This window comes from Homo sapiens, chromosome 13, assembly GCF_000001405.40.
Source record: "Homo sapiens chromosome 13, GRCh38.p14 Primary Assembly".
NCBI classification, from domain to species: Eukaryota; Metazoa; Chordata; class Mammalia; order Primates; family Hominidae; genus Homo; species Homo sapiens.
This window is the reverse complement of record NC_000013.11, coordinates 97,600,963-97,626,647: the sequence shown is the minus strand read 5'-3', so window position 1 is coordinate 97,626,647 and position 25,685 is coordinate 97,600,963. Positions and strand designations below refer to the sequence as shown.

Here is a 25,685-nt window from a genome sequence, read left to right as displayed (position 1 = left end):
ATACCACACATACACGCACCACACACACCTTACACACACACAACACACACCATACACACACGACATAGTCTCACCAAACTTGTGCTTGGGGGCCTTTTGGTGGCGGGCAATCGGATTACTCATTTATTTTGGTAAGTAAGGTTGAGCTTACTGCCTTCCTCTCACGTCCATCACTGTACTCACTGTCATTACAGTAAGGCCAAGAAAAATCACAAGGAAATTGGGGAAGGGGAAAAATGTGTAGAAAATAAATAGGAAGGATAAAGTTAGAGAAGGCAATGCAAAGCCATGCTGTTCCCATCCTTCTCCATCCCTTAAGATTTTTCCTTATCTCTGCATCTGAAGGAGAAATTTTCAGCAGAAAAAAAAGCAAAATGCAGAAGAGCCCACCCCAAGCTTTGCATCTGCAGGTGAGCAGTGGGAAGAACCCACAGGCATTTGGTGAACATCCTCTCATGGCAGGTGTGGAGCTGTGAGGAGCAGGGGCAGGAGATGGAGGAGTGGAGGGTGAGCTGACATCCTGCTTTAATTCCTGGGCCCCAGCAGTTGCCTGTCTAGAGAAGAGCAGTGCTAGGGGTACAGGCTTTGGAGAAAATGTCAATTTCTGGCTTGAATAACACTCATATAACTTTGCATTTATAATCCTCCTTCTCTATTAGGGAGCAAACTATCAGATTATCTGATTTCTAGAAGATCATTTGTAGAAAAAAATGGCACAGCCTGAGGCCTGGCTCAGTTCATGAAATGATTCATTTGGAGCCTGTTCACAGAGGCACCTCAACTCACTAGAATATGCACACGAAACCTCCTTGCTCAGTTGAATTTTCACCATTAACTTCAGCCCAAGGATACTATTCTTTCGGGTAATGAGTCCTGTGGTGTCATCTTAGCCAGATTCCATAAGTTTCTATACACTTGAAAATCCACAGATTCCATAACTTTCTATTCACTGTTACTAGGACAGTCTAATTCTACACTTGAAGACACAGTCTTGTTCACTCTAAGATGTCCAACCTCAAAGCTGCTTTTCTCCCTTTGTCTTAGCAGAAGCTGTCCTGTCTGCAGCACTAACAAGAGAGTTCTCATCTCAGCCCTGGCTCCAACTGGGAGCTTCTAGTTCTCTCTTAGGCTGAGTGATTCTGGGGTGGGGTTTGAGTGGGAGTATTTCTTTCTGACCTCTCAGTGATTCTAATGTGCGGCCAAGGTTGAGCACCGCTGCTGGGAAGCAGCACTGGTGGATGGGTGAGAGGAGGAGGTACATCGTGCTGGTCCCCACAACTTCCCTTCAGCTCTTTCAGGGTACATGGCAAGAAGGAGGAGGGAAAGGGCTAGTTGTTCTGTTTAATGGAAGTGGAGCGGTTGTCTTCTTGGCTGGTCACTGTGGCCGCCCAGCTCTGGAAGGCTTCTGAGTGCTGGTTCTCTCCGGAGGCACAGGTGTGGGGCTCAGTAAGATACTGGAAGCCCAGCTGTCTTCCAGAGTGCCTGCTCCACCCCAAGGAAACCCACACTCTCCTGCCACACCAAAGGTTGCAGTGCAGGAGGCACCCCTATAACTGCTCTCTCCATATCCCCCAAATCCACCACTCCATCTAGCTCTAACTCCCCTTTTCCCTGCTCAGGTGTCAGACCAGGACTTGTGCTGGGTAAATAGATACGTGCATTAGCCAGCGTTCATCCAGATAAACAGAACCAGAACCAACAGGAATAAGATGTCTATGTGCTTATGTATGTGTGTATATGTATGTATGTGTATAGTATCTATAAACCTATTCATCAGTCTACCTATCTACCTACCTATCTATGGAGAGGCATTTATTTTAAGGAATTGGCTCACATGATTGTGGGAGCTGGAAAATCTGAAACCTGCCTTAAGTCCCAAGGCAGACTGGAGGTGGAATTCTTTCCACTCTGGGGACCTCTATCTACCTCTTAAGGCCTTCAGATAATTGGAAGGGTAATCTGCTTTACTCAAAGTCTGATTTAAATGCTCATCACATCTAAAAAGTACCCTCTCAGCAACATCTAGACTGGTGCTTGACCAAACAACTGGTCACCATAGCCTAGCCAAGTTGACACACAAAATTACCCATTATAGTGTCCAACTGGTGAAATGTATGTCCCTTGGTTCCAGGGGGAGGAAATATTCCCATTTTCCTCCAGGAAGAAGGTACCTGGAGGGGCACCCACCCTCTCGCCTCCCTGCCCTCTCTTGTAGCTGCCTAGGGTGAGAGGTGGAAGGAAAGGGACTTGGTCTGCATTTTGGTGCTTCCCCTCCGGCCTGGAAGCGGACTGCTGCCAACTTATCTAGCATGCGGGGCAGCTAGTTTATTTTGTTCTCAGTTTTGAACCTTAATAACAACTTTAGGGTAACAGGAGAAGCCCCACTCAATATCCTCGCATACATTGAATATTGTAGATGATAACGTAGCCCTAACACATGTTCTGTTTCTTATATACATCTGGAACCACCTTAAAAACTTGGCAACCTGAGATATGGAAAGATCCCTATTTAAGAGAAACCCAAAGCTACTATGACAAATACAAGTCAGAAATTTAGAAGGGTGCAAGAAAGAGGCTGGCCTGCATGGTCTTCATTCTGGGTATATACAAATAAACCCTCAAGTTCATTTGTTAAAGCCCTAACTGGCAATGTGACTATATTTAAAAATAGGTGGTTTAGGAAGTAATTAAGGTTAAATGAGGTCATAAGGGTAGTACCCTGATCCAATCAGGCTGGTGGCTTTATAAGAAGAGGAAGATCTCTCTCTCTCTCTCTTTTTCTTTCTATCTCTACCTTTCTGTCTCTTTTTCCTCCAGTGAACTCAGAGGAAAGGCCATGTGGACACACAGGGAGAAGGCAGCTACCTGCAAGCCAGGAAGAGAGCCCTACCAGACACCTTGATCTTGGACCTTTCAGCCCCCAGAACTGTGGGAAATAAATTTCTATTGTTTAAGCCCCCCAGGCCATGGTATTTTGTGACAGCAGCCTGAGCTGACTAAGGCAATCACCCTGATGGTGAATCTGCCCTTGTGGAGGTGTGATGGGAATTTCGATGAATGCTGCTATGGTTTGGAGAAGGTTTGCTTGGCCCCACCAAGTCTTATGTTGAAATTTGATCCCCAGTGTTGGAGGCGGGGTGAGGTGGGAGATGTTTGGATCATGGGAGTGGACCCTCATGAATGGCTTGGTGCCCTTCTCCTGGAAGTGACAGAGTTCTCACTGTTAGTTCCCGCAATAACTGCTTGTTGAAAAAAGCCTGGCAGCTCCTCTTCTCTCTCTTTTTTTCTCTCTTGCCATGTGATGCTGGCTCTGCTCCACCTTCTGCCATGATTGGAAGCTTCCTGAGGCCTCACCAGAAGCAGATGCTGGATCCATGCTTCTTGTACAGCCTGCAGAACCGCGAGACACACAAAAACCTTTCTTTCTAATTACCTAGCCTCAGGTATTCCTTATAGCAACACAAATGGACAAAGACAAATACATTCATACATATATGTAAGTATATACCAACATACATGAATACATGTAATATATAGTTAAGTGTACTCACACACACAGAGACATACACACCTATATAAGTGTACACACTCACACACACACACACACACACAGTTATGTATTCATGACTTTCTTTTCCAGGATGAATAAGGCTTTTTCTGCCTTATTGGAAAAACATTTCTTTCATTACTTCCTAATCCCTCCACTGCTATCTCATTTAACTCCTGAACTCCAGTTGGCAGATGTTAATATATCCTTATTAGGGACAAGTGTTTTGGATCAATTCATACATCTTTCTGTATGGTAATGGAAAGTTTTAATTGCTTGGAGTGAGCTATTTGATCAGTCTGTTTGCCCATTTTTTTCAGAGGATAAAAGGGTATTTGTTAGGCTCTGAATGCAAGAGAAAAAAATGTAAAGCCCACGTTTAATATCCTTTGGGTACAATTTATATTTTAAATTTCATAATTGTAGCCTTTCCAAATCATTGTTTTTTAATGTAGTTAAATATAATTCATTAGCACGGTGCTGAAAATAGCAATAACATTTGCATCACTGTAGTCTCGATGTAATCAGCAGCTTCTGAGCCCAATGAGATTTTTGTGGCTCAGTTCAGTAGGACAGAACGGTCATGCGTTCTGCTGCGTGCAGGGAGAGAGAGTTAGTAGCTTCTGCTAGTGAAGGGTGGTAGTCCTCACTTGAGCTGGGACTAGCTAGCTCTCCCTGCGTGCCATTCTATGAGTGGTGCAGCCATCGGCTCTCCGGAGTATTAAACCGGCAATGCTCAGGGGCCGTTTTGGGGTTCATTGCAGCCTCCTAGTTTTTTATTTACCTTTGTTTGTAAGATTCTTGTGGTCTACAGAGAAAAAAAGGAGCAAGTATTAAGAAAAAAGTCCTGAGGTCTAATTCTGCCACATTTCAATATTTTCACATTGGCTTTTGTGAATAAAAATGTGGAGTAAGAGCTTTGAGAGCATGATGCGAAGGCTCAAGACAGAGGAACAGACCCACGGAATCCTGTCTCCCCTCCATTCCACTTTCGCCTCTCCTCTGAGCCCACGGCAGCCGCTCTCGCTCTTCTCACCTGGGTCCTGCGCACAGTGCTCTTCTGTGCTCCTTTTCCTCGTCTTCTACCATAGTTTTTTCTTCCTTTCCCCCACCCTCCTCTATTCTTTCTCACCGCTGCTGACCCATCAGTATTGTTTTCCTCCCAAGCTGAAGTGTCCCACTGAGTGCAAAGGCCACACAGCCCTCAAGTCTCCGGGACAGCTGTTAGGCTTTGCCTGGGACTGATCCCCAGGGCAGGCCCCAGGCTACACGGGCGCAGCGCTCAGCGCAGGCGTTAGGAGATGCTAATGAGGCTTCCCAGGCCAGAGGACTGGCCTGCATCGCACCACCCAGGGGCCCTCTTTGCCAGTCAACTGCTCTACCATCGTCCAGTTTGTGCCTTCATAGGGCCCTCAGGTACCTGCAACTCCTCCTCAGCATGAAGATGAGGCCAGGGCTTCTGCCCTTTTCTCAATCCACCTCTGCGTCAGCATTCGCTAGGGGGAAGCCCTGCTGCTCTCAGAGACAGGAGGGGAGAAAACTTTGTACCCAGTCTTTTCTTCACCCTTTGTCTTTTGCTTTCAGTTATTTTCTTTATTTCAAAAGACAGGGTAAAACTTCCTAGGACTGTAAGTTTGGATATTGCTAGGACTGCTTTTTGGGGGAAAGCCTCACAGGGAAAGAAGACATATCCATTCTCTTTCACCCTTTGGGGATTTTGGGGTGGCTCATTTTCTAAATTACTGATATGGTTTAGCTGTGTCCCCGCCCAAAATCTCATCTTGAATTATAATCCCAATAATCTCCACATGTCAAGGGCGGGACCAGGTGGAGGTGATTGGATCATGCGCGCGGTTCCCCCGTGCTGTTCTCGTGATAGTGAGTGCGTCTCACGAGATCTGATGGTTTTATAAGCGTCTGGCTTTTCTCCTGCTGGCCCTCGCTCACTGGGTCCTGCCGCCCTGTGAAGAAGGCGCGTGTTTCTTCTTTGCCTTCCACCCTGATGGTAAGTTTCCCGAGGCTTCCCCAGCAATGCAGAACTGTGAGTCAATTAAACCTCTTTCCTTCATAAATTTACCCAGTCTCAGGCCGTTCTTTATAGCAGTGTGAGAATGAACGAATACAATTACCAACTACAAGTACTATTTTTTCGAAAGGAGAGAAACATGGCATTTGTCTGACCCCTTATACTTCTAGTCCTCTGGGCTTATTTTTGGAGTCTATTACTACAATCATGTAGGTCCAGAAGGACGTGACAGAGTCAAGTTGTGAAGGACGGGACTAAAAACTTTATCTGCTCATTTCCATCTCCCTGCTTTTTTTTGCTTTAATCTTGACTGCCCTTGATTGCTGCATGTACCCATTTACGGATATTTTATAACATTCAGTAAATAACACATTTTAAAACTTACAAGTTTCAGTTTTTGTGTGTTTAACACAGTGCCACTGTCCTGGGTATACAATAAATATCAGCTATTAAATTTACTACTTTCAAAAAAATCTCCGCTTATTTTATTAACTCTTCACCCATACCAATGCATGACTAGTTTTTTCCCTCTACTGGTATTTACTTATAAAAATGGGATTAAATAAAAGAAAATGTTTTCCATTCCCAATTATATTCTTTTATTCTCCGCTAAGCAATTTCTCCAAACTAGCCATGATTGAAAATAATAATTTAAAAAAGGCATCCTAGCTTTCTTTATTCTGATTTTGTCCACCCTTGGCTTACTTTTAAAAATAATAATGTTGTCATTTCAACCAATCTGCTTGGAATATAATCCTTCTGTCTCTAGGGGAAGTAATGTTTCTGAAGAGTAAAAAATAAGAATTTTGATTTGAACTAGAATTCATCTTGAAGATCTTGAAGTCACGCATATTTACTTGACTCATGAAATAGACACAGTGTCCTAAAGGTCAGAATTTAAAGTGGGACCCCACTAATGGAAGAACATTTTTTCTTCTGAAAACACTTCTGTGTTTCACGATTGACAAATGAACTAGTGAGTGAAAAAGGTATTTGGAGGCTAGATACCTCCGGTGTGCTGAGCTAAGGAATGAATCACTCAATCACTTACCACAAGTTTCTTGAGAGTCTATTGTGTGCAAAGAACTGCATGTTTTGTCTGTGCTGATGAGGGGAACTCAATACTCAACAATATTTAACAAAAATTCATAGACTGTGTACCAGGGACTGCGCTAGATGTTCTATATTTTTCTCCATCAATCTTCTGAGCTCCAGAGCAACACTGATAAATGCCTGTGAAAAATTTCCCGTAGATATTGTTCATAGACCCCTCAGTTTGGCATGTCCAAGATGGAACTTACCATTTCACTGTCTTTATTAATGGTGCCTTTTCATTCAGACATTCAAACCAGAAACTTAGTCTTCCCTGGTTCATGCCTTTCTTCCATCAGCCTCTCTCCATATTATCACAACATCATGTTCAGCTGATTGTTCCTTTTATTGGTTGAAGCTGTTTCCTCTGCCACCCCACAGCTGTCCCAGTGATCACTCTTGTGTTTTCTCACCTCAGCATTTACAGTGGCTTTGTAACTTGTGTATCTCTTAAAGTTCTTACTATATTTTCTGTGTGCTTCCTGCTAGGGTGACCAACCATCCCAGTTTGACCTCAGTCCAAACTGAGGAGTTTCCTGGGATGCAGGACTTTGTAAACCTTTCAGTTTTAAAATAGGACAGTTCCAGGCAAACTGGGACAGTTGGTCACACTATCTGTTAACTATCTTTCAAGTCAAAGTCTGGGGCAGGTGAATCAGATTGACTGAGAGTCAATCATATAGCAAAGGAGATTGAGAAAGTATCTGGCATTTTTCAGCTTTTCTGATGGAAGTTGGGTTTCAATTCATAAGGTATGGGAGTCCCCAACTGTAGCAAGAGGGTTCACAGTTTGGGGGACAAAAATTAATAAATATCTTCATACACTGTTTCTCTGTATCCAGTCTCCCCAGTTATAATGCATTGTGTGTTCTGAGTTAAGGTAAAGCTCACTTTATTTTTTAACTTTTAAGTTCAGGGGTACATGTGCAGGTTTGTTACATAAACTTGTGTCATAGGGGTTTGTTGTACAGATGATGTCATTACCCAGGTATTAAGTCTAATGCCCATTAGTTATTTTTGCTGATCCCCTGCCTCCTCCGACCCTCCACTCTCTGATAGGACCCAAAGTGTGTTGTTCCCCTCTATATGTCCATGTGTTCTCATCATTTCGCTCCAACTTACAAGTGAGTACATGTGGTATTTGGTTTTCTGTTCCTGTCTTAGTTTACTAAAAATAATGATTTCTAGCTCCATCCATGTCCCTGCAAAGGACATGGTCTTGTTCTTTTTTATGGCTGCATAGTATTCTGTGGGGTATATGTACCATGTTTTCTTTATCCAGTCTATCATTGATGGGCATTTAGGTTGATTCAATGTCTTTGCTATTGTAAGTAGTGGTGCAGTGAACATATGCCTGCATGTGTCTTTATAATAGAATAATTTTTATTCCTTTGGGCATATACCTAGTAATGGGATTGCTGGGTCGAATGGTATTTCTTGTCTTAAGGTCTTTGAGGAATCATCACACTGTCTTCCACAATGGTTGAACTAATTTACACTCCCACCAACAGTATATAGGAATTCCTTTTTCTCCACAACCTCGCCAGCATCTGTTATTTTTTGACTTTTTAATAATGGCCATTCTGACTGGTGTTAGATGGTAGCTCATTGTGATTTTGATTTGCATTTCTCTAATGATTAGTAATGTTGAGCTTTTTTTCATGATTGTTGGCCACATGTATGTCTTCTTTTGAAAAGTGTCTGTGTGCGTCCTTTGCCCACTTTTTTTATGGGGTTTTTTTTTTCTTGTAAATGTGTTTAAGTTCCTTATAGCTGCTGGATATTAGACCTTTGTTGGATACATAGTTTGCAAAAATTTTCTCTCATTCTGCAGGTTGTCTGTTTACTCTGTTGACCAGTTTCTTTTGCTGTACAGAAGCTCTTTAATTTAATTAGATCCCATTTGTCAATTTTTGCTTTTGTTGCAATTGCTTTTGGCATCTTCATCATGAAATCTTTACCCTTGCCTATGTTCTGAATGGTATTGCCTAGGTTGTCTTCCAGGGTTTTTATAGTTTTTGGTTTTACGTGTAAGTCTTTAATCCGTCTTGAGTTAATTTTGGTATATAGTAAGAGGTAGATGTCCAGTTTTAATCTTCTGCATATGGCTAGCCAGTTATCCCAGCACCATTTATTGAATAGGGAATCCTTTCCCCATTGCTTATTTTTGTGAGGTCTGTTGAAAATCATATAGTTGTAGAGGTGCAATCCTATTTCTGGGTTCTCTATTCTGTTCCATTGGTCTATGTGTCTGTTTTTGTACCAGTACCATACCATGCTGTTATGGTTACTGTAGCCAGTATAGTTTGAAGTTGAGTAAAGCTCACTTTCTACCAGATATCCTTCTATACCCTTGAAAATCTGCTCTTGCTTCCTTACGAAAGATAAAGTCCCAACTTCTTAGTGTGTCCTATGGCCTTTCATGGTCTGAAGCCTCATTTCCAGCTTCACCTCTTGCTATCCACCTCCTTAAGTTCTCCCTGCAGCTTCAGGGGCACCTCTTATAGTTCGTGAATCATGTCATGTGTCTTCATGCCTTCATGGGTTTAGTATGGGCTGCTCCTTTTGCTATGACTATGCTTTGCTGTCAGTGCAGTTGTCTCTCCTCTGTGGCGTCTTACTGATCATGGCAGTACCAGCTATCAGGCCAAATCAGTTGTTTCTTCCTGTCTACACTAACATTTACCATGCTGCATTGCCATTTGTTACTTACATTTCTCTCTTTCCCTTTATATTTATGAGTGCTTCAAGTGCTGGACAAGGTGAAACTCCAATCCCCTATTCTATGAGAGATGGAGAAAGAAAGCATGACCAAAGGCACACATAAATAAGTGGTAGTCACCAAAATCTAAATGAATTCCATGCATATATGTAGTAAGATATTAGTTGCTTCTTAAATATTTGTTTCTCTACTCTTATTTTACTAAGAGAACCTCCCAAATTTAATGGGCACATGGATGCATATCATCTGCCAATTTTTTCCCCTTCATGCTGGTTGGAATGTAAATGTGATGGCAGGAGTTGGAACAGCTATCTTTGACTTTGAGTTAGTAACCGATGTTGAAGATGGCAAATTAACAAGAGAGAGCATGGATCTCCAGCACCTGGAGCTAATACAGCAACCCTGCGTCGTTTATACTTAGACTCTTTTGTGAGAGAGAAATAAACTTCTATCTTATTTAATTTGACTTTGATTGCCACAGCTATACCTGTAATCTAATTAACATGAGAAAGGGGAAATGTTAGAGGTGAAATAGGTCTTTTGTATTGTGACTTAGATCAAAGTCTGATGCAAGGAAGGGTGTGAGAGAACTGAACAGACAGAGACAAGCATCATTCTTCTGGTTTTGTCAGTGTGAAGGATGGACAACTTTTTATTACAAATATTTCTCTGAATCAGCATTTTCCAATTAATTTCTTCAAATCTTTAAGGTGTCAATCACAGGTGGTAGACTAGAAAAGGAATGAAAAGAGAGTAAGAACTAGAAAGCATTTTGCTCTTCTTTCTTTGATAACTTTTTAGATCTGTCTTTTGTGTGATCAAGATGATCATTAGAATGTCAGATCTGCTTCTAAGACCCCATGTCAGGCCCCTGTCAGAAATGCCACAGAGCAAGACATGGTTTCTGACTTCAAGAAGATAAACAGATAAGGTACATACAAGCAGAAGACAAAAATGAGTTGGTAGGTAGGTAAATAGATAGCTTGATAGATAGGTAAGTGATAGAGTATTGCTTACTGAAATCCACTGTTCAAAATCAATCAAATAATTGAACGACTATTCAAAAGAGGGAGAGGTAATGTGCAGTGGCAAAATTAAAGCTTTGGGATATTTGGGAACTGGCACCCAGTTCCTTATTAGCTGTTTGACTGTAGGTAAATAATTTATCTGAGCTTCACTCTCTACTAAGAGTTGGCTAATAATATCCATTTCCTATGATTGTTATGAAAATTAGAAAAGTGGGTTATTATTGAAATGGCTATTATTTGCTTCCATATTTATGTCTTAATCCATGTGGAATTTTGTGTATAGGGTCAAATAGATATCTAATTTTGTTTCTTTTTCTGTGTGGGTACTCCATTGTCTCTACACCATTTACTAAAACAAAGTCCTTTGGGTTACAGTACCATCTTTGTCATATATCAAAGTTCCACATAAGTGTGGGCCTGTTTCTGAGTTTTCTTTTCTCTTCCATTGGACTGTTGGTCTGTCTTTGAATCAAACATTCCCTGTCTTGTATATAATATCTTTATAGATGCCTTTACATCTGATATGGCATTTCTGCCATCTCATTCTTTCTCAGAATTGATGTGGCTATTTATAGTCTGATGTAAATCTCAGAATCAAGATTCATAAAAAATACTGTCAAGATTTTTATCAAATTGCATTAATTGTATAGATGACTTAGGTGAGTATTGAAAGCTTTAAGGTATTGAAAGGTGTGTGAAATATGATAGCCAGAGAGCAATGAAAGGAGTAAGGAGGGAGTCATATCAGAAGGAATGGCATGAGGCAGGAAAACCCAGGGTGTGTTTTGTCCATAGTTCGGTGTAGTTTGAATGGTGAGTGATGGATACTAGAAGAGAGCTATAAAACAGGCTTGGAAGGCAGCTGAGCTGTCAATTATAAAATGGAACGCATAGAGGGTAGCCTGTGCCAACTCCTTAGCCCAGAAAGTCCTGTGACATTCGCTAATGAAAATCAATTTCCCATCCAACTTTGTGAAATCATAATGCAACGAAGACTCAAGCAAGTAAGAAAACTTAGAGAGACAGAGGAAGTTTAGCCAGATGTTAATCAGGCAGTAAGCTTTGAAAATGTTGCTCTCAATGGGGGCCCTTTTAAAATGTGACATTATTTTACCTGTGGCTACTAAATCCATTAGTAAACACTCTGTGGGAATAAGAGCTAAGAAATCTACATTCTCTGATGATTTTTCCAGATGTGCAATTAGCTTGACCAAAAACATGCTCAGCCAGAGGCACTCATTAACTTCCAAAAGTGGAGACTATTTACCCCAACTGAAACTGCTGGGGTAAACCAGTTGACGCTACATGCAATGCACATTTAATTTTTCTGTTGCTTTACCATTGAGATTTTCAGAGCCCAGAAGGATACACAGTGCTGCTGTTTTTATGCAGCATCCATGCTGGCTGAACCCCCTGCAAAGCTATTTTAAAGGCCAGCTGGTTATTAAAATGTCCACATCAGTGTTTGCAGAATCACAGCATTCGTGAGGTGCTCGGACATAAGGGTGGGCCATTTATCTAGCCCAGCCTTCTCATGCCATAGGAAACGAAGTCAGCCCAGATTGATGATTGATGGCCTCTCAGTGAAGCAAAACATTTGGGACAGAGCAGGGTGTAGAATTCAGATCTCCTGAGTTCTGTTTCCCCGGCTCAGCCATGACATTTACCTTCTCCTTGGGACATCTTTGTCGTCTTATTGGTTACTTTTCTGACAGTTGCCAGAATCAAAATGAAGTCACTTGTTAAAACAAAACCCTGACAAATGGAACCAGAGAATGCCATGAGGAGAGGATTTTCAGGCATAAATGCCTGATAACAAAACCTATCATGAAAAACTTCACAAAAACCATGACTTTGCACAAAGGCCCTTACAACTTTACACAAAACACACTTCTGCAAGGACATCTGCCAGCAATTGTCTGTCCAAGCCCATAGTGGTATCATCCTTGTTACTGATCCTTGTAGCCAAGGATAATTATCTCAAAACAACTATGTAATCCTTCTCACTTTTCCTTTAAAAGCCATTGTTCTTCCTTTACCTCCCTGAATATGCAGATAGTTTATTTTGGCATATGTATGCGCATTGCAATGTCTTATTCCCGAAATAAATATAATTTTCTTGTAGAGAACCTCTTTCTTTTGTTATTTAGATTGACACTCTCCTTGTTCTCTGCAAATAAACTGCTTGTTTTTTTGTTTTCTAGTTCATTTTGAAAGATCTGGATTTGAGCTCTTACTAGTTTTATGTGCTTCTTGGCTTGGGGTTGTAATTGTATAACCTGTATTGCTCAGTACACACAGCTTGAGAATAAAAACAGGGTCACAAAACAACAGCATTCGTCTGTCCCCAACACTGACTGCTCTACCCTAACTCCAGGCCCACCAAGATTCTTCTTCTTCCTTTTTTTTTTTTCTTTACTATAAAAATTTATTTGTTTCTTGGCAGTGATTGTGATTTTTTTTTCTTTTTTTAAATTTTATTATTATACTTTAAGTTTTAGGGTACATGTGCACAATGTACAGGTTAGTTACATATGTATACATCTGCCATGCTGGTGTGCTACACCCATTAACTCGTCATTTAGCATTAGGTATATCTCCTAAAGCTATCCCTGCCCCCCCACCCCACAACAGTCCCCAGAGTGTGATGTTCCCCTTCCTGTGTCCATGTGTTCTCATTGTTCAATTCCCACCTATGAGTGAGAACATGCGGTGTTTGGTTTTTTGTCCTTGTGATAGTTTACTGAAAATGATGATTTCCAATTTCATCCATGTCCCTACAAAGGACATGAACTCATCATTTTTTATGGCTGCATAGTATTCCATGGTGTATATGTGCCACATTTTCTTAATCTAGTCTGTCATTGTTGGACATTTGGGTTGGTTCTAAGTCTTTGCTATTGTGAATAGTGCTGCAATAAACATACATGTGCATGTGTCTTTATAGCAGCATGATTTATAGTCCTTTGGGTAGATACCCAGTAATGGGATGGCTGGGTCAAATGGTATTTCTAGTTCTAGATCCCTGAGGAATCGCCACACTGACTTCCACAATGGTTGAACTAGTTTACAGTCCCACCAACAGTGTAAAAGTGTTCCTATTTCTCCACATCCTCTCCAGCACCTCTTGTTTCCTGACTTTTTAATGATTGCCATTCTAACTGGTGTGAGATGGTATCTCATTGTGGTTTTGATTTGCATTTCTCTGATGGCCAGTGATGGTGAGCATTTTTTCACGTGTTTTTTGGCTGCATAAATGTCTTCTTTTGAGAAGTGTCTGTTCATGTCCTTCACCCACTTTTTGATGGGGTTGTTTGTTTTCTTCTTGTAAATTTGTTTAAATTGATTGTAGATTCTGGATATTAGCCCTTTGTCAGATGAGTAGGTTGCAAAAATTTTCTCCCATTTTGTAGGTTGCCTGTTCACTCTGATGGTAGTTTCTTTTGCTGTGCAGAAGCTCTTTAGTTTAATTAGATCCCATTTGTCAATTTTGTCTTTTGTTGCCATTGCTTTTGTTGTTTTAGACATGAAGTCCTTGCCCATGCCTATGTCCTGAATGGTAATGCCTAGGTTTTCTTCTAGGGTTTTTATAGTTTTAGGTCGAACGTTTAAGTCTTTAATCCTTCTTGAATTGATTTTTGTATAAGGTGTAAGGAAGGGATCCAGTTTCAGCTTTCTACATATGACTAGCCAGTTTTCCCAGCACCATTTATTAAATAGGGAATCCTTTCCCCATTGCTTGTTTTTCTCAGGTTTGTCAAAGATCAGATAGTTGTAGATATGCGGCGTTATTTCTGAGGGCTCTGTTCTGTTCCATTGATCTATATCTCTGTTTTGGTACCAGTACCGTGCTGTTTTGGTTACTGTAGCCTTGTGGTATAGTTTGAAGTCAGGTAGCATGATGCCTCCAGCTTTGTTCTTTTGACTTAGGATTGACTTGGCGATGCGGGCTCTTTTTTGGATCCATATGAACTTTAAAGTAGTTTTTTCCAATTCTGTGAAGAAAGTCATTGGTAGCTTGATGGGGATGGCATTCAATCTATAAATTACCTTGGGCAGTATGGCCATTTTCACGATATTGATTCTTCCTATCCATGAGCATGGAATGTTCTTCCATTTGTTTGTATCCTCTTTTATTTCATTGAGCAGTGGTTTGTAGTTCTCCTTGAACAGGTCCTTCACATCCCTTGTAAGTTGGATTCCTAGGTATTTTATTCTCTTTGTAGCAATTGTGAATGGGATGTCACTGATGATTTGGCTCTCTGTCTGTTATTGGTATATAAGAATGCTTGTGATTTTTGCACATTGATTTTGTGTCCTAAGACTTTGCTGAAGTTGCTTATCAGCTTAAGGAGATTTTGGGCTGAGACTGTGGAGTTTTCTAAATATACAATCATGTCATCTGCAAACAGGGACAAATTGACTTCCTCTTTTCCTAATTGAATACCCTTTATTTATTTTTCTCACCTGATTGCCCTGGCCAGAACTTCCACACTATGTTGAATAGGAGTGGTGAGAGAGGGCATCCCTGTCTTGTGCCAGTTTTCAAAGGGAATGCTTCCAGTTTTTGCCCATTCAGTATGATATTGGCTGTGGGTCTGTCATAGATAGCTCTTATTATTTTGAGATACGTCCTATCAATACCTAATTTATTGAGAGTTTTTAGCATGAAGGGTTGTTGAATTTTGTCAAAGGCCTTTTCTCCATCTATTGAGATAATCATGTGGTTTTTGTCTTTGGTTCTGTTTATATGCTGGATTACATTTATTGATTTGTGTATATTGAACCAGCCTTGCATCCCAGGGATGAAGCCCACTTGATCATGGTGGATAAGCTTTTTGATGTGCTGCTGGATTCGGTTTGCCAGTATTTTATTGAGGATTTTTGCATCAATGTTCATCAAGGATATTGGTCTAAAATTCTCTTTTTTGGTTGTGTCTCTGCCCGGCTTTGGTATCAGGATGATGCTGGCCTCATAAAATGAGTTAGGGAGGTTTCCCTCTTTTTCTATTGATTGGAATAGTTTCAGAAGGAATGGTACCAGTTCCTCCTTGTACCTCTGGTAGAATTCGGCTGTGAATCCATCTGGTCCTGGACTCTTCTTGGTTGGTAAGCTATTGATTATTGCCACAATTTCAGCTCCTGTTATTGGTCTATTCAGAGATTCAACTTCTTCCTGGTTTAGTCTTGGGAGGGTGTATGTGTCAAGGAATTTATCCATTTCTTCTAGATTTTCTAGTTTATTTGCATAGAGGTGTTTGTAGTATTCTCTGATGGTAGTTTGTTTTTCTGTGGGATCAGAGGTGATATCCCCTTTATCATTTTTTATTGCATCTATTTGATTCTTCTCTCTTTTCTTCTTTTTTGTTGATCATTTCAAAAAACCAGCTCCTGGCTTCATTAATTTTTTGAAGGGTTTTTTGTGTCTCTATTTCCTTCAGTTCTGCTCTGATTTTAGTTATTTCTTGCCTTCTGCTAGCTTTTGAATGTGTTTGCTCTTGCTTCTCTAGTTCTTTTAATTGTGATGTTAGGGTGTCAATTTTGGATCTTTCCTGCTTTTTCTTGTGGGCATTTAGTGCTATAAATTTCCCTCTACACACTGCTTTGAATGTGTCCCAGAGATTCTGGTATGTTGTGTCTTTGTTCTTGTTGGTTTCAAAGAACATCTTTATTTCTGCCTTCATTTCGTTATGTACCCAGTAGTCATTCAGGAGCAGGTTGTTCAGTTTCCATGTAGTTGAGTGGTTTTGAGTGAGTTTCTTAATCCTGAGTTCTAGTTTGATTGCACTATGGTCTGAGAGACAGTTTGTTATAATTTCTGTTCTTTTACATTTGCTGAGGAGAGCTTTACTTCCAGCTATGTGGTCAATTTTGGAATAGGTGTGGTGTGGTGCTGAAAAAAAGGTATATTCTGTTGATTTGGGGTGGAGAGTTCTGTAGATGTCTATTAGGTCTGCTTAGTGCAGAGCTGAGTTCAATTCCTGGGTATCCTTTTTAACTTTCTGTCTCGTTGATCTGTCTAATGTTGACAGTGGGGTGTTAAAGTCTCCCATTATTAATGTGTGGCAGTCTAAGTCCCTTTGTATGTCACTCAGGACTTGCTTTATGAATCTGGGTGCTCCTGTATTGGGTGCATATATGTTTAGGATAGTTAGCTCTTCTTGTTGAATTGATCCCTTTATCATTATGTAATGGCCTTCTTTGTGTCTTTTGATCTTTGTTGGTTTAAAGTCTGTTTTATCAGAGACTAGGATTGCAACCCCTGCCTTTTTTTGTTTTCCATTTGCTTGGTAGATCTTCCTCCATCCTTTTATTTTGAGCCTATATGTGTCTCTGCCCATGAGATGGGTTTCCTGAATGCAGCACACTGATGGGTCTTGACTCTTTATCCAACTTGCCAGTCTGTGTCTTTTAATTGGAGCATTTAGTCCATTTACATTTAAAGTTAATATTGTTATGTGTGAATTTGATCCTGTCATTATGATGTTAGCTGGTTATTTTGCTCATTAGTTGATGCAGTTTCTTCCTAGCCTTGATGGTCTTTACAATTTGGCATGATTTTGCAGTGGCTGGTTCCTTTCCATGTTTAGCGCTTCCTTCATGAGCTCTTTTAGGGCAGACCTGGTGGTGACAAAATCTCTCAGCATTTGCTTGTCTGTAAAGCATTTTATTTCTCCTTCACTTATGAAGCTTAGTTGGGCTGGATATGAAATTCTGGGTTGAAAATTCTTTTCTTTAAGAATGTTGAATATTGGCCCCCACTCTCTTCTGGCTTGTAGAGTTTCTGCTGAGAGATCTGCTGTTAGTCTGATGGGCTTCCCTTTGTGGGTAACCCGACCTTTCTCTCTGGCTGCCCTTAACATTTTTTCCTTCATTTCAACTTTGGTGAATCTGACAATTATGTGTCTTGGAGTTGCTCTTCTCGAGGAGTATCTTTGTGGTGTTCTCTGTGTTTCCTGAATCTGAACGTTGGCCTGCCTTGCTAGATTGGGGAAGTTCTCCTGGATAATATCCTGCAGAGTGTTTTCCAACTTGGTTCCATTCTCCCCGTCACTTTCAGGTACACCAATCAGATGTAGATTTGGTCTTTTCACATAGTCCCATATTTCTTGGAGGCTTTGTTTCTTTTTATTCTTTTTTCTCTAAACTTCCCTTTTCGCTTTATTTCATTAATTTCATCTTCCATCACTGATACCCTTTCTTCCAGTTGATCTCATCAGCTCCTGAGGCTTCTGCATTCTTCGCATAGTTCTCGAGCCTTGGCTTTCAGCTCCATCAACTCCTTTAAGCACTTCTCTGTATTGGTTATTCTAGTTATACATTCGTCTAAATTTTTTTCAAAGCTTTTAACTTCTTTGCCTTTGGTTTGAATTTCCTCCTGTAGCTCGGAGTAGTTTGATCGTCTGAAGCCTTCTTCTCTCAGCTTGTCAAGGTCATTATCCGTCCAGCTTTGTTCCGTTGCTAGTGAGGAACTCTGTTCCTTTGGAGGAGGAGAGGTGCTCTGCTTTTTAGAGTTTCCAGTTTTTCTGCTCTGTTTTTTCCCCATCTTTGTGGTTTTATCTACTTTTGGTCTTTGATGATGGTGATGTACAGATGGGTTTTTGGTGTGGATGTCCTTTCTGTTTGTTAATTTTCCTTCTAACAGACAGGACCTTCAGCTGCAGGTCTGTTGAAGTTTGCTAGAGGTCCACTCCGGACCCTGTTTGCCTGGGTATCAGCAGCGGTGTCTGCAGAACAGTAGATTTTCGTGAACCGCGAATGCTGCTGTCTGATCGTTCCTCTGGAAGTTTTGTCTCAGAGGAGTACCCGGCCATGTGAGGTGTCAGTCTGCCCCTACTGGGGTGTGCCTCCCAGTTAGGCTGCTCAGGGGTCAGGGGTCAAGGACCCACTTAAGGAGGCAGTCTGCCCATTCTCAGATCTCCAGCTGTGTGCTGGGAGAACCACTGCTCTCTTCAAAGCTGTCAGACAGGGACATTTAAGTCTGCAGAGGTTACTACTGTCTTTTTGTTTGTCTGTGCCCTGCCCCCAGAGGTGGAGCCTACAGAGGCAGGTAGGCCTCCTTGAGCTATGGTGGGCTCCACCCAGTTGGAGCTTCCTGGCTGCTTTGTTTACCTAAGCAAGCCTGGGCAATGGTGGGCGCCCCTCCCCCAGCCTTGCTGCCGCCTTGCAGTTTGATCTCAGATTGCTGTGCTATCAATCAGCGAGACTCCCTGGGTGTAGGACCCTCGGAGCCAGGTGCGGGATATAATCTCCTGGTGCACCATTTTTTAAGCCCTTGGAAAATCGCAGTATTAGGGTGGGAGTGACCGGATTTTCCAGGTGCTGTCTGTCACCCTTTTCTTTGACTAGGAAAGGGAACTCCCTGACCCCTTGTGCTTTCCGAGTGAGGCAATGCCTTGCCCTGCTTTGGCTCATGCATGGTGCGCTGCACCCACTGTCCTGCGCCCACTGTCTGGCACTCCCTAGTGAGATGAACCTGGTACCTCAGATGGAAATGCAGAAATCACCTGTCTTCTGTGTCGCTCATGCTGGGAGCTGTAGACCGGAGCTGTTCCTATTCAGCCATCTTGGCTGCCCGATTCTTAAATCATTCCAGGAGCCCTCGAGGAGTTACCTCTAGTGAGCTTGGCAGATGAAACCTTTTGTTCAGGGTAACTCCTGCCATTTTCCTCCTCCATGTGTTCCGATGATGCCACAGATGGTGACTGGGGCACCAACGTCCGCAGAAGATGTTCACTTGGTGGTGGTGCCTGCCCAGGACATCATGGCTGCTGGCAAAGGTGCCAGCCCTCGAGCTGATGCTGTTTCTGTCTGGACCAAGGATGCTGGTATGGCCTTGGGTCCACTTGGTCACCCCACCCTCCTACCAATGCTAGGATCTCTGCATGAATTTCTGAGAGAGGCTGGAGGAAAATGTGAGTGACACAGATTATGCTGTACATACAATTGCATTTCCTTTACCCTTAAATTGTTTTCAGCAGCCTGAACTTGTGTGCTGCAACTTTTGTTCCCTGAGGATGAGATTTCCATTAGTACCTTTTCCAGGTAGACTCTTTATTTTTTATTATACTTTAAGTTCTGGGGCACATGTGCAGAACATGCTGCTTTGTTAAGCTCCATCCTATTTGGGAAGAGGTTCCTTTTTTGAGACACTGCCTCACCTCCCACTATGAAAATCAAAGGTGGCCAGGCTTGGTGGCTCAGGCCTGTAATCCCAGCACTTTGGGAGGCCGAGGCAGGTGGATCACTTGAGGTCAGGAGTTCGAGACCAGCCTGGCCAACATGGTGAAACCCCGTTTCTACTAAAAATGCAAAAATTAGCCAGGCGTGGTGGTGCATGCCTGTGATCCCAGCTACTCAAAAGGCTGAGGCAGGAGAATCACTTGAACCCAGGAGGTGGAGGTTGCAGAGAGTCAATACTGCACCAATGCACTCCAGCCTAGGAGACAGCAAGACTTCATCTCAAAAAAAAAAAAAAAAAAATCAGAGATAAACAGATATTCCCTTTCCTATCACCTGGCCACTGGTAGGTGATTATTTGACCCAGGCTTGGCCAACTCTTTGCTCTTCTCTGGAACCTTGACTCTTGACTCTTGAACTAGTGACACAGAGATGGAAGAACAGTTTAGGATTTATTCATAATGAGGGCAATCAGCAATAGAGTCAGTGGTGTCTGTGGTAGTGGTTGGGGTGTCCTGAAAACACAACCTTGTCCTGGAAAGGGAGGGAAGAAGGTGCTGTTGATGACATTCTATCTGAATAATGCCTGTATCGGACGCATTATTGGGCATCTCTCTTGAGATAAGGACATAATCTTTATTTTTTTATTTTTATTTTTTTATTATACTTTAAGTTCTAGGGTACATGTGCACAATGTGCAGGTTTGTTAGTATACATGTGCCGTGTTGGTTTGCAGCACCCATTAACTCATCATTTACATTAGGTATATCTCCTAATGCTATCCCTCCCCCATCCCTCCACCCCACGACAGGCCCCAGTATGTGATGTTCCCCACCCCATGTCCAAGTGTTCTCATTGTTGATTTCCTACTATGAGTGAGAACATGCGATGTTTGGTTTTCTGTCCTTGTGATAGTTTGCTCAGAACGATGGTTTCCAGCTTCATCCATGTCCCTACAAAGGACATGAACTCATCGTTTTTTATAGCTGCATAGTATTCCATGGTGTATATGTGCCACATTTTCTTAATCCAGTCTGTCATTGATGGACATTTGGGTTGATTCCAAGTCTTTGCTATTGTGAATAGCACCGTAATAAACATAAGTATGCATGTGTCTTTATAGTAGCATGATTTATAATCCCTTGGGTATATACCCAGTAATGGGTTCTCTGAGTCAAATAATATTTCTAGTTCTGGATCCTTGAGGAATTGCCACACTGTCTTCCACAATGGTTGAACTAGTTTACAGTCCCACCCACAGTGTAAAAGTGTTCCTATTTCTCCACATCCTCTCCAGCACCTGTTGTTTCCTGATTTGTTAATGATTGCCATTCTAACTGGTGTGAGATGGTATCTCATTGTGGTTTTGATTTGCATTTCTCTGGCCAGTGATGATGAGCAATTTTTCATGTGTCTGTTGGCTGCATAAATGTCTTCTTTTGAGAATTGTCTGTTCATATCCTTTGCCCACTTTTTGATGGGGTTGTTTGTTTTTTTCTTGTAAATTTGTTTAAGTTATTTGTAGATTCTGGATATTAGCCCTTTGTCAGATGGATAGATGGCAAAAATTTTCTCCCACTCTGTAGGTTGCCTGTTCACTCTGATGGTAGTTTCTTTTGCTGTGCAGAAGCTCTTTAGTTTAACTAGATCCCATTTGTCTATTTTGGCTTCTGTTGCCATTGCTTTTGGTGTCTTAGTCATGAAGTCCTTCCCCATGAGTGTGTCCTGAATGGTATTGCCTTGGTTTTCTTCTAGAGTTTTTATGGTTTTAGGTCTAATATTTGAGTCTTTAATCCATCTTGAATTAATTTTGTATAAGATGTAAGGAAGGGATCCAGTTTCAGCTTTCTACATATGACTAGCCAGTTTTCCCAGCACTATTTATTAAATAGGGAATCCTTTCCCCATTTCTTGTTTTTGTCAGGTTTGTCAAAGATCAGATGGTTGTAGATGTGTGGTGTTATTTCTGAGGCCTCTGTTCTGTTCCATTGGTCTATATCTCTGTTTTGGTACCAGTACCATGCTATTTTGGTTACTGTAGCCTTGTAGTGTAGTTTGAAGTCAGGTAGCGTGATGCCTCCAGCTTGGTTCTTTTGGCTTAGGATTGTCTTGGAAATGCAGGCTCCTTTTTGGTTCCATATGAACTTTAAAGCAGTTTTTTCCAATTTTGTGAAGAAAGTCATTGGTAGCTTGATGGGGATGGCATTGAATCTATAAATTACCTTGGGTAGTATGGCCATTTTCATGATACCAATTCTTCCTATCCATGAGCATGGAATGTTCTTCCATTTGTTTGTGTCCTCTTTTATTTAATTGAGCAGTGCTTTGTAGTTCTCCTTGAAGAGGTCCTTCATGTCCCTTGTAAGTTGGATTCCTAGGTATTTTATTCTCTTTGTAGCAATTGTGAATGGGATGTCACTGATGATTTGGCTCTCTGTCTGTTATTGGTATATAAGAATGCTTGTGATTTTTGCACATTGATTTTGTGTCCTAAGACTTTGCTGAAGTTGCTTATCAGCTTAAGGAGATTTTGGGCTGAGACTGTGGAGTTTTCTAAATATACAATCATGTCATCTGCAAACAGGGACAAATTGACTTCCTCTTTTCCTAATTGAATACCCTTTATTTCTTTCTCTCACCTGATTGCCCTGGCCAGAACTTCCACACTATGTTGAATAGGAGTGGCGAGAGAGGGCATCCCTGTCTTGTGCCAGTTTTCAAAGGGAATGCTTCCAGTTTTTGCCCATTCAGTATGATACTGGCTGTGGGTTTGTCATAAATAGCTCTTATTATTTTGAGATACATTCTATCGATACCTAATTTATGGAGAGTTTTTAGCAAAATTTTGTTGAATTTTGTCAAAGGCCTTTTCTCCATCTATTGAGATAATCATGTGGTTTTTGTTCTTGGTTCTGTTTGTGATGGATTACGTTTATTGATTTGAGTATGTTGAACCACCCTTGCATCCCAGGGATGAAGCCAGCTTGATCTTGGTAGATAAGCTTTTTGATGTGCTGCTGGATTTCGTTTGGCAGTATTTTATTGAGTATTTTCACATCAATGTTCATCAGGGATATTGGTCTAAAATTCTCTTTTTTTGTTTATATGCCAGGCTTTGGTATCAGGATGATGCTGGCCTCATAAAATGAGTTAGGGAGGATTCCTTCCTTTTCTATTGCTTGGAATAGTTTCAGAAGGAATGGTACGAGCTCCTCTTTGTACCTCTGGTAGAATTCGGCTGTGAATTCGTCTGGTCCTGGACTTTTTTTGGTTGGTAAGCTATTAATTATTGCCTCAATTTCAGAGCCTGTTATTGGTCTATTCAGGGATTCAACTTCTTCCTGGTTTAGTCTTAGGAGGGTGTATGTGTTGAGGAATTTATCCATTTCTTCTAGATTTTCTAATTTATTTGTGTAGAGGTGTTTATAGTATTCTCTGATGGTAGTTTGTATTTTTGTGGGATTGATGGTGATATCCCCTTTGTCATTTTTTATTGCATCTATTTGATTCTTCTCTCTTTTCTTTATTAGTCTTGCTAGCGGTCTATCAATTTTGTTGATCTTTTCAAAAAACCAGCTCCTGGATTCATTGATTTTTTTTTTTTTTTTTTTGGAAGAGATTTTGTGTCTCTATCTCCTTCAGTTCTGCTCTGATTTTAGTTATTTCTTGCCTTCTGCTAGCTTTTGAATGTGTTTGCTCTTGCTTCTCTAGTTCTTTTAATTGTGATGTTAGGGTGTCGATTTTAGATTTTTTCCTGCTTTCTCTTGTGGGCATTTAGTGGTATAAATGTCCCTCTACACACTGCTTTAAATGTGTCCCAGAGATTCTGGTACGTTGTGTCTTTGTTCTCATTGGTTTCAAATAACATCTTTATTTCTGCTTTCATTTCATTATTTACCCAGTAGTCATTCAGGAGCAGGTTGTTCAGTTTCCATGTAGTTGTGCGGTTTTGAGTGAGTTTCTTAATCCTGAGTTCTAATTTGATTGCACTGTGGTCTGAGAGAGAGTTTGTTGTGTTTTCTGTTTTTTTACATTTGCTGAGGAGTGCTCTACTTCCAACTATGTGGTCACTTTCTGTTTATATATATATTCTGTTGATTTGGGGTGGACAGTACTGTAGAACCTACCTATTAGGTCTGCTTGGTGCAAAGCTGAGTTCAAATACCTTTGGTCTTTGATGATGGTGACCTACAGATGGAGTTTTGGTGTGAATGTCCTTTGTGTTGATGTTGATGCTATTCCTTTCTGTTTGTTAGTTTTCCTTCTAATGGGTCACTCAGCTGCAGGTCTGTTGGAGTTTGCTGGAGGTCCACTCCTTACCCTGTTTGCCTGGGTATCACCAGCTGAGGCTGCAGAACAGCAAATATTGCAGAACAGCAAATATTGCTGCCTGATCCTTCCTCTGGAAGCTTCGTCTCAGAGGGGCACCTGGCTGTATGAGGTGTCAGTCGGCCCCTATTGGGAGGTGTCTCCAAGTTAGGCTATGCAGGGGTCAGGGACCCACTTGAGGAGGCAATCTGTCTGTTCTCAGAGCTCAAACACCATGCTGGGAGAACGACTGCTCTCCTCAGAGCTGTCAGACAGTGACAATGTTTAAGTCTGCAGAAGTTTCTGCTGACTTTTCTTCAGCTATGCCCTGCTCCCCGAGGTGGAGTCTACAGAGGCAGGCGGGCCTCATTGACGTGCGGTGGGCTTCACCCAGTTCGAGCTTCCTGGCTGCTTTGTTTACCTACTCAAGCCTCAGCAATGGCGGACACCCCTCCCCTAGCCAGGCTTGCAGTCTAGCAGTTCGATCTCCGACTGCTGGGCTAGCAGTGAGCAAGGCTCCATGGGCGTGGGACCCGCAGAGCCAGGCCCAGGATATAATCTCCTGGTGTGCTGTTTGCTAAGACCGTTGGAAAAGCACAGTGTTTAGGTGGCAGTGTCCTGATTTTCCTGGTACAGTCAGTCATGGCTTCCCTTGGCTAGGAAAGGGAAATCCCCTGACACCTTGCGCTTCCTGGGTGAGTTGATGCCCCACCCTGCTTCAGCTCTCCCTTGGTGGGCTGCACCCACTGTCCAACCAGTCTCAATGAGATGAACCTGGTACTTCAGTTGGAAATGCAGAAATCACCCGTCTTCTGCGTCAGTCACACTGTGAGCTGCAGACTGGAGCTGTTCCTATTCAGCCATCTTGGAACCTGACAACAATCCTTATTTAAAGACAGTGGAAAGTACAGTCAGTCAGTCAGTCAGTCAATGGGTAAATATTGTTAAACTAGAGAAGGGTGCATACATAGATTCATTCATTTTACTTAGTATTTAGATATTGACTGTCCGATTTCTCAGTAAACATCTTTATTATGGTATATAATGTTTTGCATCATATGGTATCTTAATATAAATGAAACTGCAAGTATTTAAAGTGTTTAATTTGAGAAGTTTATCTCTATATGTAAATATAAACACACATACACAGTTGACAATTGTATATGAACAACATAAAGGTTAGAGATGTGGACTGCCTGCACAACCAAAAATCCTCAACTTTGGACTCTCTTCAAACTTAGCTACTGACAGCCTACTGTTGACTGGAAGCCTTATTAGTAACAAATAGTTGATCAACACGTATTTTGTATGTTATATATATTATATACTGTATTCTTCCAATAAAGTTAGCTACAGCAGGGGTCCCCAACTCTGGGGCCTGTTAGGAAGTGGGCTGCACAGCGGAAGGTGAGTATTGGGAGAGCATTACTCCCTGAGCTCTGCCTCCTGTTGGATTGGTGGCAGCATTAAATTCTCATAGGAGCATGAACCCTACTGTGAACTGCACATGCGAGGGATCTAGGTTGCATGCTCCTTATGAGAATCTAATGCCTGATGATCTGAGGTGGAATAGTTTAATGTGGAAATCATCCCCATTCCCCCATACCCTCATCCTCCTTGCTCCCCTAATGCTTCTGTCTGTGGAAAATTGTCTTCCATGAAACCAGTCCCTAGTGCCAAAAAGGTTGGGGACCACTGAGCTACAGAACAGAAAATGTTGCTAAGAAAATCATAGGGATGAGAAAGCACATTTATGGCATCATACTGCATTTACTGATACTG

The 25,685-nt window shown here is 41.6% G+C and overlaps 1 long non-coding RNA gene across 2 annotated transcripts in view, besides 1 other annotated feature; it reads left to right on the top strand.

Annotated features, from left to right (window-relative positions):
* LOC105370324 (uncharacterized) overlaps positions 1 to 25,685 on the top strand; it is a 179,291-nt gene that overhangs the window by 84,397 nt on the left and 69,209 nt on the right. The gene's annotated exons all lie outside the window — the stretch shown is intronic.
* Positions 4,268 to 4,767: an enhancer, noted in NCBI's record as "H3K4me1 hESC enhancer chr13:98274135-98274634 (GRCh37/hg19 assembly coordinates)". NCBI's record gives its function as "activates a minimal SCP1, AML or CMV promoter by ChIP-STARR-seq in primed H9 embryonic stem cells {active_cell/tissue: H9 hESC(primed)}" and the evidence as "EXISTENCE:reporter gene assay evidence [ECO:0000049][PMID:30033119]".